Source organism: Homo sapiens, chromosome 2 (genome assembly GCF_000001405.40).
Source record: "Homo sapiens chromosome 2, GRCh38.p14 Primary Assembly".
Taxonomy (NCBI): domain Eukaryota; kingdom Metazoa; phylum Chordata; class Mammalia; order Primates; family Hominidae; genus Homo; species Homo sapiens.
This window is the reverse complement of record NC_000002.12, coordinates 234,593,209-234,608,423: the sequence shown is the minus strand read 5'-3', so window position 1 is coordinate 234,608,423 and position 15,215 is coordinate 234,593,209. Positions and strand designations below refer to the sequence as shown.

General features: G+C 45.9%; 1 long non-coding RNA gene across 1 annotated transcript in view, besides 3 other annotated features; it reads left to right on the top strand.

Annotated features, from left to right (window-relative positions):
* LOC105373936 (uncharacterized) overlaps window positions 1-12,221 on the top strand; it is a 36,506-nt gene extending 24,285 nt beyond the window's left edge. Inside the window, exon 3 of the long non-coding RNA XR_923998.3 lies at window positions 10,614-12,221. This is a non-coding gene — a long non-coding RNA (uncharacterized LOC105373936). The remainder of the gene's footprint in view (window positions 1-10,613) is intronic.
* Window positions 3,952-4,903: an enhancer, noted in NCBI's record as "H3K4me1 hESC enhancer chr2:235512165-235513116 (GRCh37/hg19 assembly coordinates)". NCBI's record gives its function as "activates a minimal SCP1, AML or CMV promoter by ChIP-STARR-seq in naive H9 embryonic stem cells {active_cell/tissue: H9 hESC(naive)}" and the evidence as "EXISTENCE:reporter gene assay evidence [ECO:0000049][PMID:30033119]".
* Window positions 10,953-11,493: an enhancer, noted in NCBI's record as "OCT4-NANOG-H3K27ac-H3K4me1 hESC enhancer chr2:235505575-235506115 (GRCh37/hg19 assembly coordinates)". NCBI's record gives its function as "activates a minimal SCP1, AML or CMV promoter by ChIP-STARR-seq in naive H9 embryonic stem cells {active_cell/tissue: H9 hESC(naive)}" and the evidence as "EXISTENCE:reporter gene assay evidence [ECO:0000049][PMID:30033119]".
* Window positions 11,494-12,034: an enhancer, noted in NCBI's record as "OCT4-NANOG-H3K27ac-H3K4me1 hESC enhancer chr2:235505034-235505574 (GRCh37/hg19 assembly coordinates)". NCBI's record gives its function as "activates a minimal SCP1, AML or CMV promoter by ChIP-STARR-seq in naive H9 embryonic stem cells {active_cell/tissue: H9 hESC(naive)}" and the evidence as "EXISTENCE:reporter gene assay evidence [ECO:0000049][PMID:30033119]".
* Window positions 12,222-15,215: the final 2,994 nt, after the last annotated feature.

Genomic DNA, 15,215 nt, shown 5'->3' with positions numbered 1-15,215 from the left:
TCATGGTTAACAAAGTATTTGTTGAGCTGGGTACCATGTGAACCACCACAGACATCCATGTGTCTAAGGCAGAGTACGTGTCTTTAAGGAGTTCACAGTCTAAGCAGGTGACGTACCTATCTACTTAAGGACTGAAGCATGTCACATCCAGCAATTTTTTTTTTTTTTTTTTTTTTTTTTTGAGATGGAGTCTCACTCTGTCACCCAGGCTGGAGTGCAGTGGTGCGATCTCGGCTCACTGCAACCTCCACCTCCCAGGCTCAAGCGATTCTCCTGTCTCAGCCTACTGAGTAACTGGGATTACAGGCACATGCAACTGTGCCCAGCTAATTTTTGTATTTTTAGTAGAGAAGGGGTTTCACCATGTTGCCCAGGCTGGTCTTGAACTCTTGACCTCAGGTGATCCACCTGCCTCGGCCTCCCAAAGTTTCAAGATTACAGGCGTGAGCCACCGCACCCGGCCACATCCAGCAAGTTTGACTTGAATCCCTAGATTTTGTTATTGCACTCTCAGAGGTCCATGTGGATGAGGCAACATGACTGCTGGGTTAGAGTGGCCGCATCCTCGGCATCTAGGAATGGCTAGGAAATCTGGGCAGCCCAGGGAAATGCCATGCCATTCTCCTGTCATGCCTTCATAAATCATCTTGGGAATCTCCTTATTCATGTTAAATATGTGTTCTATCCCATCGCAATGGTACCAAGTAATTTTCGTACCTAGCTCACATAAATAAATGTTTTCTTGAGTTTCTACCTTTCCATTGGAAGGAAGGAAGAAGGAATAGAAGAAAGGAGGGAGGAAGAAATGGAGGGACAGAGAGGGAGGAAGTGAGGGAAGACCTTCTTTTTTTTTTTTTGAGACAAGTCTTGCTCTGTTGCCCAGGTTGGAGTGTAGTGGTGCAATCTCGGCTCACTGCAAACTCCACCTCCCGGGTTCAAGCAATTCTCTGCCTCAGCCTCCCGAGTGGCTGGGATTACAGCCCACCACCACGCCTGGCTAATTTTTTTGTATTTTTAGTAGGGACGGGGTTTCACCATCTTGGCCAGGCTGGTCTTGAACTCCTGACCTTGTGATCCACCCGCCTCGGCCTCCCAAAGTGCTGGGATTACAGGCGTGAGCCACCGCGCCCAGCCCGGGAAGACCTTCTTTAGTGAAGTGTGGGATTCTAGAATGTGGGACACAAAGGGAGAGCCCACAGGCCGACACACATGACTGATCACACTCGGTTCCATGTGGGAACAGACCTGGAATGCAAAGATAAATAAGATTCCTTTTCTTATTTCAAAGACATCAGTCTGGCTGACCCATCTGGTGGGGAGACAGGCGTGTAAAGCAGATTGTGTTGCTGCATGATAAATGCCTTGACAGAATGGAGAACGCAGGGCGGGGTGAGCACAGCCTGGCAGATGGAGCAATCAACCCTGATGGCGAAAGGGTGATGTTTGTGAAGTTTCTCAGAAGGGGAACTCCTGAGCAGGGTTTCCAAAGATGAAGAAGTGTTTTCCAGATAAGCAAGGAGGCCTTGGGTTTATTAGTTTTTATTCCTATTTTATTTATGTATTTATTTTGAGACAGAGTCTCGCTCTGTTGCCCAGGCTGGAGTGCAGTGATGTGATCTTGGCTTATTGCAACCCCCACCTCCCAGGTTCAAGCGATTCTCCTGCCTCAGTCTCCTGAGTAGCTGGAATTACAGGTGCCCACCACTACACCTGGATAATTTTTGTAGTTTTAGTAGAGACGGGGTTCCATCATGTTGGCCAGGCTGGTCTCGAACTCCTGACCTCAGGTGATCCGCCCTCCTCAGCCTCTCAAAGTGCTGGGATTACAGGCAAGAGCCACCGCATCTGGCCTTTAATTGGTTTTTATAGGCAGCTGAGGTCACTGGCTTGGGATGACCAAGCCCTTTCAAAAGGTCCTTCTGAAAAGTTAAGAGATAGCACAGAAACCTGGTTAAAATGCAGATTCTGATTCAGTAGATGTGGCTGAAGTCTCAAGGGGCACCAATGCCGTAGAGACCACACTTGCCACAGCAGGGCTTTATTGAAGCGGCTTCAGAGAGTAAAGACTGAGCATGTCTTCCAAGCGCCAGGTGCTCTTGTAGGTCTGGGGGACACAGTCAGCAAGACCAACAGGGTCTCTGTCCTCGTGGAAATTTGAGTCTGATGACAGCAAAAGGGAGAGCAAAGCCCAAGGCATCTCAGTCTGATCTGGAATCTTCCTTTAAACCCAGGCTCGTGATAATGTTCTTGCTGTGTGTTAATTGTCTCTATGCACTCTTGGCTGTGGGTATCTCCTGCCATTCTGCTCTCCTGTGTCTCGGGGAGCCTTGGAAACACATTGCTAGGATATGCTCCCCTGCTTATCATGTAAAAATAGTTCTGCTTTGATGCGACATTGATTTTACGGATGCGTGAAAGGTGCTCTGGGAGGCTGAAGCACGATTGAAGCGTCGTCCCCCCCACACCCCCCAATGTTTACTGTGCTCTTACTGCTAACTCTGAGACACAGGGGATTGGATAATGGTCTCCTGTCCGCAGTCACTCGCAGGAAAGTTGGCAAAGGCAGTAAATAAAGTAATAAGTTAAGAAAATGTCATGAAATGTATGTGCTATGTTTGGTGTAGGCGTGGTGTTCGGTAGGGCCTCAGAGGAGAGAATGATTATTTCTGGGAGCTGAGGGTAGCGGATGAGGGTGGAAAGGTCATTTCAGAGAGGCCTGACTCACTGCAGCCCGACCAGGACTCCTTCTGCCTTTTCCCGCCCACCTCTCTCAGGTGCTTCTCCCAGGTACTTCTGTCTGCCTGCAACCTCTCTCCATCCTCCTGCCCTCTAACAAACACCGACTTTTCTCCTGGGTCTCCCTTCTCTGACCCTGCAAGGTGTAAGGTGACAAACCATCTTGGTTTGCTGGGACCGAGGGATTTCCCAGGAGATGAGAATTTACTGCTAAAATGGGGACAATCTGGGCCAGTTGGGATGGTTGGTTACCCTGGGTGTCTCCTCTGATGCTTCCCTTGGGCAGCACTCAGGACACAATGAATTGCATATCCTGCGTCTCTGTCCTTTTTACAAAGAGGTGGCAGCTCCATGAGGCCAGTCCTGAGACAGGCATCCGCAGTGCCCTGTGCAGCTGGCACTCAGTGAACTCTCATAGACAGAACTCTTGTGGTCCTTGAACCCTCTCGAGAAAAGAGGAGGTGTTTATCAGGCAGACAGGGAGAGGATGAAGCTGTGGATTTGGGGGGCAGCCCGAACGAAGGCCCTGGGGTACTGGCCGAACGTGGTGTATTTGGGGAGCACAGGCCGCCTTCTGCCATCTCTCCACGTCTGTGAGGGGCTGAGGCAGCCCCGGCCTAGAGGAAACACTGCAAAAAAGAAAAGAGCAGCACAAGGGGATGAGGATGCACCAGACCACAGAGATGGCACTTGCTTCTGCAGACGACATTAAAATATGGGACCATTTCAAATGGGATTAAATGTGACTTCGTAAAATCTTGCTCTCATGGCACTGTGTGGGGAGGAAAACTGCCAGGAAGCCTTTCGCTAAGGTTATAGCAGAGGGGGTGGAGGAGTGGGGTAGAATTCCAGCATACTCAGGAGGCGAACCTGGACTGATGACTGAGGCATGAGGATGGGGGTTGGCAGAGGAGGAGGAGGAGACAAGTGTTGCCCTGGAGTTCTCATTGGCCAGGAGAAAAACGAGCGGAGGAGGAGGTGGCTGGGAGCACCATCTTGGTGCAGCAACGTCCGGGAGGCCTGCTGTGCTCAGCCCTGCAGGTTTGCAGCTCAGCTGAGAGTTCTGGACCACAGCGATATTTAATTACTGTAGGCAAATGGATGTTAATTAAGTCAAAGAGTGGAGGAAATTGTCCAGGGAGACTGTACCAGGTAAGAAGAGGAGAGTGCCCAGGGCCAGGCCCCTGAGAGTATCAAGATAATTAGGCAGCCGAGGCAGAGGAGTGACATCGACTGAGAGAGGGGAGCCAGAGAGAGAAAGTGCTGTTTGGAATTAACAGGAAGAGAGAATTTTTGAGAACTGACTATCATTTTTTTCCACCCAGCCTGGAATTCAGTGGCATGAACACAGCTGAATTCTGAGCTGCAGCCTGAACCTTCTGAGCTGAAGCAATCCTCCCACCTCAGCCTTCCGAGTAGCTGGAACTACAGGTGTGCACCAACACGCACAGCTAACTTTTGTATTTTTTTTGTAGAGATGAGGTCTCACTATGTTGCCCAGGGTGGTCTTCAACTCCTGGGCTCAAGTGATCTACCTGCTTTGGGCTCCCAAGGTGCTAGGATTACAGGCATGAGCCAAAAACTGGCAGTCTTTTCAGTACTGGCTTCTGTGCACTTCCAGCTCCAAACAGTGCATGCTGTTTAGATGGGAGGTAGGGAGGTGGCCGCAGACCTGGTGGCCAGCATGGAGGAGGCAGCCTCCCTCAACCTCCTCCCACCACCACTGTGGCCACAGGGAGCTGAGGTTGGCTCCCGGCAGGCTCACCTGCTGGGAACTCCTTCTCTGATCTGAATGGTTTCCCTGTGGATGCGTCATTTCTAGGCAAGAGCAACAGGAGGCGCTCCAGGCCTGGGCCAGCCCTGGGCCAGCCCTGCTTCCATAGCTGACTCTGCAGACAGCTGGGCCAGGTCCCAAGCCTCAGAGCTGGGGCAGCTTTGGCTGGACCTGACAACTCTGAGGCTGCTTCTAGCTCTGATGATCTGAGTCCGTGACCTTAGATTCTGGAAATTCTGGAACAGGCCACTATTTTGAGGGTCCTCTGTAAATTTCCTACTCATTATTATTTCAGTGAATTTGTTCCACAAATGTCTGCCGAGCACCTGCTGTACATTAGACCTGAGGTACAGAGAGAGAACAAAATGGAAATGGCCCCTGGCCTGCAGGTGTCCCAGGAGGTAGGCATTAAACAAGCATGCGTTAGATGGAGAATAACCTGGTTCTTAGCAATGGGCATGCTGGGGACCGAGAATGGATCGTTGCAGACGTCGAATGTTGGGGATATGGGAACTGAGTTTGGGAAGAGTGAAGAAAGCTGTCACGTGGAGGAACCAAGTGCTCCCACTAGCTACAGGTTGGCAGGACAAGAGCCCAGTGAAGGAGTTGAGGGAGATGAAGTTGGATGCAGACCCAGGCTGAGTCACCTGGGGCCTGCATGCCTGGGGAAGAGGCTGGTTTTATTCTAGATGGAAGGGGGATTCTAGAAGGTGAGTGTCGTGGTCTGATTAACATTTATAAAAATAGGTCAGCCGGGCGCAGTGGCTCACGCCTGTAATCCCAGCACTTTGGGAGGCCGAGGCGGGTGGATCACGAGATCAGGAGATCGAGACCATCCTGGCTAACATGGTGAAATCATGTCTCTACTAAAGAGACAAAAAAATTAGCCAGGCATGGTGGCGGGTGCCTGTAGTCCCAGCTACTCGGGAGACTGAGGCAGGAGAATGGCATGAACCCAGGAGGCGGAGCTTGCAGTGAGCCAAGATCATGCCAGTGCACTCCAGCCTGGGTGACAGAGCGAGATTCCATCTCAAAAAAAAAAAAAAAAAAAAAAAAGTCAAGATCACACTTTTAATCAGGACTGATTTGCTCCATCTGATACCCTGCACAATTTTGGAGAGTTTTGCTAATGGCTCTGCAACATTGCTTTGACAAATGGGTAAGAACATGGCAGTATGTGACAAATTACTTGAATATCAGCCAAGGTTAAAATCACCACTAAACACTTTTTAAAAAATATCATTTCAAATGTAATAGCTGCCAAATTTCCCTGATGGGTTAATTTACCTGCTAGTGAAGAAGGGTTTAGATGACAATCCCAGACCAGCTGAAAGCTCAAGGCCATGGGAGAGCCTCTCTTCCATCCATGATCACTTTCATTCTGACCTTGGAAGAACAGGTCTTCTCCAGGCCCATGAGAAATGGGCAGCCTCAGACTGGCCGCTGTGACTTTCCTCCAGGCCATGAGCTGCTGGGACACTTGGCATGGAACCTGTAATAAGCAAAGCAAAGGGGTGACCTGGTTGGGGTCTTGGAAGGGAAGCAGAAAGGAGATGTAAGTACCCACAGCCTCTACTCCAGGGAGTTTGCCTTCCAAGGTGGTTAAAGACGAGGAGCCAGGACTCCAGACTTTCCATGCATGTCCCATCTGCTCTGGCATGTCTTCCATGAAAGACTCCATTTTATCGTGTAGCTCTCTTCATACAAGTGCACCATGATGTGCCATATTTTGTCCTGACAACATCACTCTTCATCTGTATGGAAGCTCCAAATGAAACTGAACTAGAAAATGGGGCTGTTGAGAGTGCTTTCTCTGGCTTAGTCCTAGCTCTCTCACTCCTTCTGTCCCCAAGACTTTGGGACAAGTGTCTCCATTTCTCCAGCTCCAGTTTCACTGCCTACGTAATAGGAATGATCTTAGAGGCACCAGATCTCACAGGTGCTGTGAATTACCTGAGAGGGAGGGAAGAGGTCTTTTTCAACCCAGAGTTTATCACACGCAGCAAGTGATGGGTTCGTGTTGGGCCCTTGATAAACCTTGAATTACAAATGATTGTGAAGTGACCATCAGCATTCTCTCGCAGGAGGTGAGGGCTGACAAACACAGCTTAAGGCCTGTGAAAGGAAAATAAATCTCAGGACCCCCAAATCACTAAGCCAATAGGAAAACTAAGGCTGGGAAGTGCATCAGGCAAGCCTGCCTCCTATTTTATTACTAAATAAGATAGCTACGAAGAGTAAAAAGCTACATACCTCCATCACTATTTGTCCACAAGAAAATTCCCTGTCGGCCTCAAGATCTTTACCCTAAAACAATTCTGTTGAATTTCACCCCGGCAATGTAAATTGATGATCGCTTATCTTCACAGATGTGGGACAAAGGACAGAACTGAAAGTCATCCCTCTGCTCACTAAAGACAAATGTGTATCTGATTGTTTCTTCCGCCTTATTGTTTATGTAAAAATGCAGATTCACTGAGGCAGACTGGGGCCGAAGTGACTATTCCTCCACTCCCTTCTCACATGTAAATTGTGTACTCAGTGAAAGGCTGATCAAAGACCCAAATTAATGCAACCTTTTGTCTCTTATCTACTTATGGCCTGGAAGTCCCCATTTCAAGTTGTCCTGCCTTTCTGTATTGAACCAGTGTTCATCTCACACATATTGATGTCTCGTGTCTCCCTAAAGTGTATAAAACCAAGCTGTGCCCCGACTACCTTAGGCACATGTCGTTAGGACCTCCTGAGGCTGTTGGGATGCGAGAAGCAGAAGCCCATTCCACTTGAGATAAGAGGATATTTACTGCAGGGATGCGGGGAACTCTGACTGTAGGAACTGGAATGTCACCAATAACTTCTGGCTCCACCCATCTCCACCTCCTCAACCTGCCTCTGCTTCTCTGCATGCCCACCTCAACATCCTCTCTGTTGCCAGCTTCTTCTGCTGGCCTCCTCATTTATGCTCCGTCATGGTTCATCTGGCATCTGTCTTTGCAGGGTACCAACTCTGAACCCCAAATCTATATATATTTCTTATTATTGAAGAGAAATTCACATAACATAAAATAAACCACTTAAACATGCACAATTCACAATGCTGTACAACCACTACCTCTTGCTAATTCCAAAACATTTTCATCACCACAAAAGAAAATCCCATGCCCATGAATCTGCCGCCTCCCCTCAGCTGCCAGCAATCACGAATCTGTTTTCAGTCTCTGTGGACTTACCTCTTCTGGAATTTCATATGAATGGAGTCATTTAATAGGTGCTTTTTGGTGACTGGCTTCTTTAACTTAGTGTGATGTTTTGAGGTCCATCCACATTGTAGCATGTGTCAGAACTTCATTCCTTTTTATGGCTAAGTAATATTCCATTGTATGGATAGAGCACATTTTGTGGACCCATTCATCTGTTGATGGACACTTGGATTGTTTCCACATTTTTGGCTGTTGTGAACAATGCTGCCATAAACATGCATGTCCTTGAGTATGTGTTTCTGTGCTTTTGAGCATATACTTCGGAGTGGAATTGCTGAGCCACATGGTCATTCTGTGTTTGAGGATCACAATGAGTTTATAGCTCCAGTGCCCTACACTGCATGCCAACTTGCCTTCAAGTCTCAATTTCAAATTCCTTGTGCAGACAATCTAATTGGCCCAGAGGAAGTAGGCATTGCTTCTAATGTAATCAGCCTGTGTGTGTGGTGGGCGTAGGGATGAGGTGGGGGGTGAGGGAGGCACAGAGGACATGGGGCTGCCCAGTGGCAGGAGGAGAGGATCTGCAGGAGACAAAATAAGAAGGAAATAGCAGCATCTCTAGCCCAACCAGCAACTCCCAGGAGCCACCTGTGGCTGGTGGAATACAACTCTCTGTCTCTGACTTAGAGGATTTGGTGGTAATTTTTAAACACCTGCTTTCATGATTCACTGTGTTACCAAATTTTACATTATTGTTTCTAAAATACTACTTAAATTTGTAGCATTACCATAACAATCTGGTTGAATGACCATTTTCAAATCATTTCAAATGAACAAGACGAAACACTCAGCAATTTTATGGGAAATTGCTGTCTGCATTGTACGCCTGTAAATAGTGCACATTAATAATGCAACATGGAGGCTCACACATTACACAGGATGAAAGTCGCTTCTTTATGCAGCGGGTGCAATGAAGAATTAATTTCTTTGCCAATACCAAAAGGTATATTCTGTTATGAAAATGCATTGACATTTTCATTCATGACAGACACCCACGCTGTGTTGGAATAATAAAGATCAAATTGTTTTTCCTCAAGAAAAGGATTTACACATATGTCAGAATGAAAAAACACAAGCTGCTTGACACAGTGAATCATTTGTAATTATTTAAAACTCTACTGAATGTGTGCTTCCATCCAAAGGTAGAGTCTAATTGCTGAGATGGGGAGGGTTCAGTTATTTGCTTCAAATACCAAGAAAAAGAAATCCTCAAAAAAATCTTCAGTATTTTTTAAATCAGTAGGTTTTTTTTCTATATTAGATGACAAATTAAAATTTACTCATGATAGGCCAGGCGCAGTGGCTCATGCCTGTAATCCCAGCACTTTGGGAGGCCGAGGCGGGCGGATCGTGAGGTCAGGAGATTGAGACCATCCTGGCTAACACGGTGAAACCCTGTCTCTATTAAAAATACAAAAAAATTATCCTGGCATGGTGGCGGGTGCCTGTAGTCCCAGCTACTTGGGAGGCTGAGGCAGGAGAATGGCGTGAACCCGGGAGGCGGAGCTTGCAGTGAGCCGAGATTGCGCCGCTACACTCCAGCCTGGGCTACAGAGTGAGACTCTGTCTCAAAAAAAAACAAAAACAAAAACAAACAAACAAAAAAATTTACTCATGATAAAAAAAAAAAACTCCTTTTAAAATCCTTAATATCTTAAAGGTCAAACATGACCATGCAATATCATATTTAATATTTTAAAATATTAAAGTATTTTTGAAGGGGACAAATAAACATTAAATAGAAAGATTTTTCCCAAGCCATTAGGACTCTGTGAAATACAATTCATAACATTATATTTTATAGAAAGCCATATGACTTTTGCCACCCTCCCTTTGTTACCTAAGTAACTTCTGGTTTTTTTCTTTTGTTATTATATTTACATTATATTTATATTTATATTATATATTGTATTATATTTACTTATTATAAATATTCTATGATCGTCTTGTGCAAAAACTTTTGCATTTCAAAATATTTTTCCAGGTTAGATTTCTAGAAGTAGAATTAGAAGTCTAAAAGACATGGGTATATGCAGTGCTAAGTTACTTTTAAAGAAAGTTGGAACAATTTATAACCCTACCAACAGTATTTGAGAGTGTTCATTTTAAACACATGATCGTGGTTGTTTGGCATTTTCAATTAAAAAATATTGTTCACGGTTTTAGGACATGGAATTATGTTTTGTTTTGTTGTTTGTATGATTGTTTTTTCATTGTATATTATGATTGTTTACTTTTTGTTATTAGCAAAGCAAGGCATTTGTCCCAATATTTAGTAATCATTTATATATCAAACTGGTATACATTTGATCATGCATTTGTCCATTTTAGTGCCTTTCTATTGATGTATGTGAGCTGTTTAAATATTATTGATATTTTCATTTCTCATTTTTTGTTTAAAACACTTTTTAAAATGAGATGTCTGACTTTTCGTTTTATTTATAGTGTGCTTTGACACATACTATTTTAAATTTTGATGGATTCAACTATACCGATGACTGTCTTTGAGATAAATGCTGGTGCTTCAACTTGGAAAATCCTGTGACATTCGAGGATTTGAAAAATATATTTAATGTGTGTTTCTAAAATGTTAGCTCTTAGATTTTCTGAAGCACAATTTTCTCTAACCTAACTGAAATTTCTCGTGCAGTATGTTGCTAAGTCTGGATCTAAGTTGCTCTTTTTACAAATAGTTAACGAACAGACCAAGCTATTTGATGAATAAGGACTCCATTTCTACCTGATTCATATTCCTTCTTCCTGGGAAGCTACATTTTTTTCTATAGTAAAGTGTGCTTGGAAGCTATCTAACGGACTATGTTGATATGCTTGTCCACATGAAGCTAATCTAGGTTCTGATGGAAAAGAGACAGGCAGCCCCTGACATCAGGGAGCCACATGGCACACCCAGCCTGGTCTTGGCGTTCTCCTGCTGAGCACAAATGACGTCACAGAACATCAGCATCCGCATCAGACTGTGCCCACCACAGAGTAAGACCAAAACCACCCATGGCGCATCTGAACACAGATCAACCGAAGAACCAAGCCACAGAATGACAATCACCCACCATCCTGGCTGACAGGAGTGCATCCCCACCAGACTGTGCCAGGTGGTGGAGGGAAGATCGCGCCTGAGGCGTGGCAGTTCTGCTGTCCCCCAGGGGAAGGTTGTCCTTATCCCCTCGCTGGGTATTCTGCCAACTTCTAGAGTGGACGAGCTCATGTTCTGTTCCCTCTCTGCTAGTCAGGGCCTGGTTTTGTCCATGTGCCTCCTCCAGGTTCAGAAGAGCAACTGAGTCCCCTGAGCCTCTGTCCTGTCCTTCAGCTGATGCCGGTAGAATCCAGTTCAGCCCCCCAGGGTGTGGCCTCAGCCACTGGTCCTGGCCACCTGGGAGCTTCCAGAGACTCAACGATTCAAACCCAAAGCACTCTCTTTGACCATGCCGCTGACCCTCTGAAATATGTTGGGCCACCTTATGTCTGTCTAGCATAGCCCCCTTTCAGTCAGATCCGGGAAGGGGAAATGAGAACCACAGCTTCCCATAAACTTCTCCCATGGGTGAGGAGGGGGGCCCACCTACTCTCTTTACATTAAAGTCCATGGCCTAATAATCATCATCATGATAATGGCCTCATAGTCCCGGCCTGGCTCTTAGTGTGCTAATCCTTTCTTACAATCCTGCCTCGTCTTGGAGAGTGCACTAGTTCTGTGAAATCCTACTTTGAATTTCATAAGCTGAAATTGCTTTCTTTTCTTTGGATTCCCTCTGTTTTCATGTTAATTTCAACCCTGCTGTTTCTCTGGGAGCCAAGGCTGAAGGATGCCACACTCAGGGGAAAACAAAAGAAAAAAAGCTTTAGTAATTTCCAACTCTTCCTCTCATTCCATTTATCCCTTTGTTCCTTATAGTGGGAGGGTCTGCCAGCGTATGGGACTAGAGCAAGTATGAATGTCATCTATGCAAAACACCCCACGGTGGTAGCACATCATTATATTAAAGTTAAAAGGCAGGGGCAAGGGAAAACAGCCCTGTTTTTCTTTTTCAATTTGGTTAAGTTTTATTTTCCTGATTCATCCAGGAGACCTTTTCTCTATAACTCTGAATATAATTAACCCAGGAGTTGCGTATAAACATCAGCAACCAAGGACCTCTGTAAATTTATGAAAATTAATTGCAGCATGTGCTGTTGATGGACCACCCCGTACCTACTTCCTGCCACACGCACACACCTGAGTGTCCCTGGAGCTTTCGCAGACAGATCCCTGCCCACTGACAGCTTCCCAGCTGTGTCTCACTGGTTCTCTGCCCACGAGGTTGCTGGGCACTGCACCTCAGGTCTTGTTCAGCCCAAGCTCAAGAAGCCCAGAAATTCTGGGATCTAACACTGACACCACCTTTGCAAAAATCATCACAGTGAGAAAATTATGGCAGTGAAAGAGATTTGACCCAACTGACTCCATCTTGCTTCTAATCTCCAAGCTGCCCTTGTTCATTCCTGGGTGTAAGCTGACCTAACTTCAGGAGGAATTTAGTTTACAGTTTAACGTTGAAACAAAGATGATATCACCCCTTTCCTGAAACAAACCTCCTTCTTGCCTGGGGACCAGGCTACTTGTGTAAGACAAAAAAATTAGCCGCAAGATTATAAATTATGGTTTAGGAGTCATGCAGTCAGAGGCCACAAGATTCCAAACCTCCTAGGAATAATATCACTATTGTAAAACCTACTGGTGCTTGAGATATTTTTCAGACCGTGCATTCTAATGCACCATCTGGAGCCACCCAGGCCACTAATTTGGCTCAACCAGTTCTGCAGTCCCACCCAGGAACAGAAGGCAGCAAGAACAACCCACCCACTTCGACCCCCTAAGAGTTCATCTTCAACCTGACCCATCAGCTCCCCCCAACTCCCTGGCCCCCTACCCACCAAATTATTTTTTAAAAACTCCAGTCTCTGAATTTCTGGGGAGACTGATTTGAGTAATGAAACTTCAGTCTCCTGTTTAGCTGGCTCTGTGTGTATTAAACTCTTTCTCTATTGCAATTCCCCCGTCTTGATAAATCGGCTCTGTCTGGGCAGTGGACAAGGAGAACCCGTTAGGTAGTTTGACACCTTTAGGATAAACCCTCCACGAATGAGGCATGAGAATTAGAGATAAATATCCCAGCTTTCCTTCCATCGGAGGGGCAGCCACTAAGCGTGTTCTGCATGATGCTGTGGGGCCGGCCTCAGCTGCCCAGTGGAGATTTGCTCAGCAAACACCATGATTGCATTTCCTTGCTTCTCAGTCTCACCTTCTCCACTCCCTCCTTCATGCTTCTCAGGATGAGCCCCCACCCCTCAAGTAACTCCTGCATTCAAGTCTTTGTGACTGGAAGGTTCCAAACTAAGATATTAGCTGACAACAAGGACACAGTTGTCCTTGTTGCACAGTCAATGAATAAAGTACTGAACTTCAGGGGTTTAGGGCAGTGGTTTCTTTGTGGGGGGGGGTGGGCAAGGTGACTCAAAGCCCGTCTTCATAAAAAACTTTGCATAGAGCAAAATTTTTAAGCTAGAAAAGTGGACAACCAAGAGAAGTAGACAACCATGGTGCTCGAAAAGAATTTGGGAGCAGAGCTACAGGCTCCCGTCTACACACCCCCCGACGGTCACTTCATTTGACTCATTGACCTCCCTTCTATGTCACCCCACCCAGGCACTGAGGGAGAAGGGGAGATTGTGATCCCAGAGGAAGTCTAGCTCCATACAGAAAGTGCACACTCAGCTGCTGTGTCTTTCGGGCCATAGTCTCAGAACATAAGTAAGGCTTTAGGTGGCTGGATGGAGTGTGGAAAATGATCACTGTGGCTCTTATATGAAAGTACAGCACAAAAAGAGACACTTTAAAGAAAATAGAATGGTTTAGTAAAATGCAAAATAATTTTTCATCTTAATGATGGGCCTTTGCCTCTTTAGACATGGTCATTTCCTCATGACTTTATCATCGTATGAAAGCTCCCACTAGGATATTCCATTAGGAGATCCCAATGTATTTCTTAGAATGAAACACATTGATCTGACATCTTTGGCTTCCCTTCGGCACCTTCACTTTAACTTTGAATTAGGTCTACTCTGACCTCTGGAACCTCCTCAGTGCATGTATTCTAAGAGGTGAGTCCAGTATCACTCACAAGTCATTGCATACTATACTGATGAACTGTAGTTGCAATGTGAAATGAAGTCTGCTCTAGGGTCTGACAATTTGGGGACACTTAAGGTCTTCCCACCTCCATGGTGGTACTTAAACAATTGGCCTTTCTTTCAAAGGAGGATCCATGAAAATGTGCAGAAGCATAAACATTTGGAAACCCAGGAAGAGGCTTCCTTAGCCATAAACATATTTCTTAGAGGGAGTGGCACATCCTAGCATCTAATAAAGTGGGAGTGTCTGACGAGGAAAGCAGGCAGAGACCCAGGATCCATTAGGAAGAACAGTCTTATGGGCCCACTCATAGACGGCCCCCTTTCTTGATTTTTTTAAATTAGCTGCTTGTGTAGAGGAAGGATTTGATGTACATGTTGCTACTGGATAATGACCACTCTCAAATATGTGGGGAAATGAGATGTTCCTCCAGCTGGCAGGAAGGCTACCATGTCCATGAGCAAGCCACGAGGATCTGGCCAGGACTTAGAGTGTCGGGGTCAAGAAGGCAGAAGAAAACTCTCTGCAGCTGCAGTCAGGAGCAGGGCCTAACCCCTATCCACAGAACCCCAGCTCTTGGTATGCTCCACATGGTAGGCATGTGCCCTTAGAAATGAAGAGGGCAACCCATGAGCTTAAAAAGTAGGACATGTTGTGGTTAGCTGGCCTAAAGAGAAAAATTTAAAGCACTTTTCTCTTTCAATTACAAATGACTCCCTGAGACAAGCAGGGGTAGGAACATTCATCTTTGCTTCCTGTCCCAAGCCTCAGTTATTTTTGTCTCATTAGGACACCACCCCATTGACTTTTACAGTCAAAAATGAAACAGAGGGCCAAGTGTGGTGGCTCATGCCTGTAATCCCAGCACTTTGGGAGGCCAAGGCGGGCAGATCACCTGAGGTCAGGAGTTCGAGACCAGCCTGGCCAATGTGAGTGAAATCCCGTCTCGACTAACAATACAAAAATTAGCTGGGCATGGTGGCACATGCCTGTAATCCCAGCTACTCGGGAGGCTGAGGCAGGAAAATTGCCTGAACCCGGGAGGTGGAGGTTGCAGTGAGCCAAGATCACGCCATTGCATTCCAGCATGGGCAACAAGAGTGAAACTCCATCTCAAAAAAAAAAAAAAGAAAAGAAAAGAAAGAAATGGAGACGGGTAGTACACAGTTTACAAAACATACAATGGCTGCCTATTTTTGTTCTGGGCTTTCTAGAGCTAGGGGCTCCTGAAGGAATAGAGATTGAATTTAGGAATAGA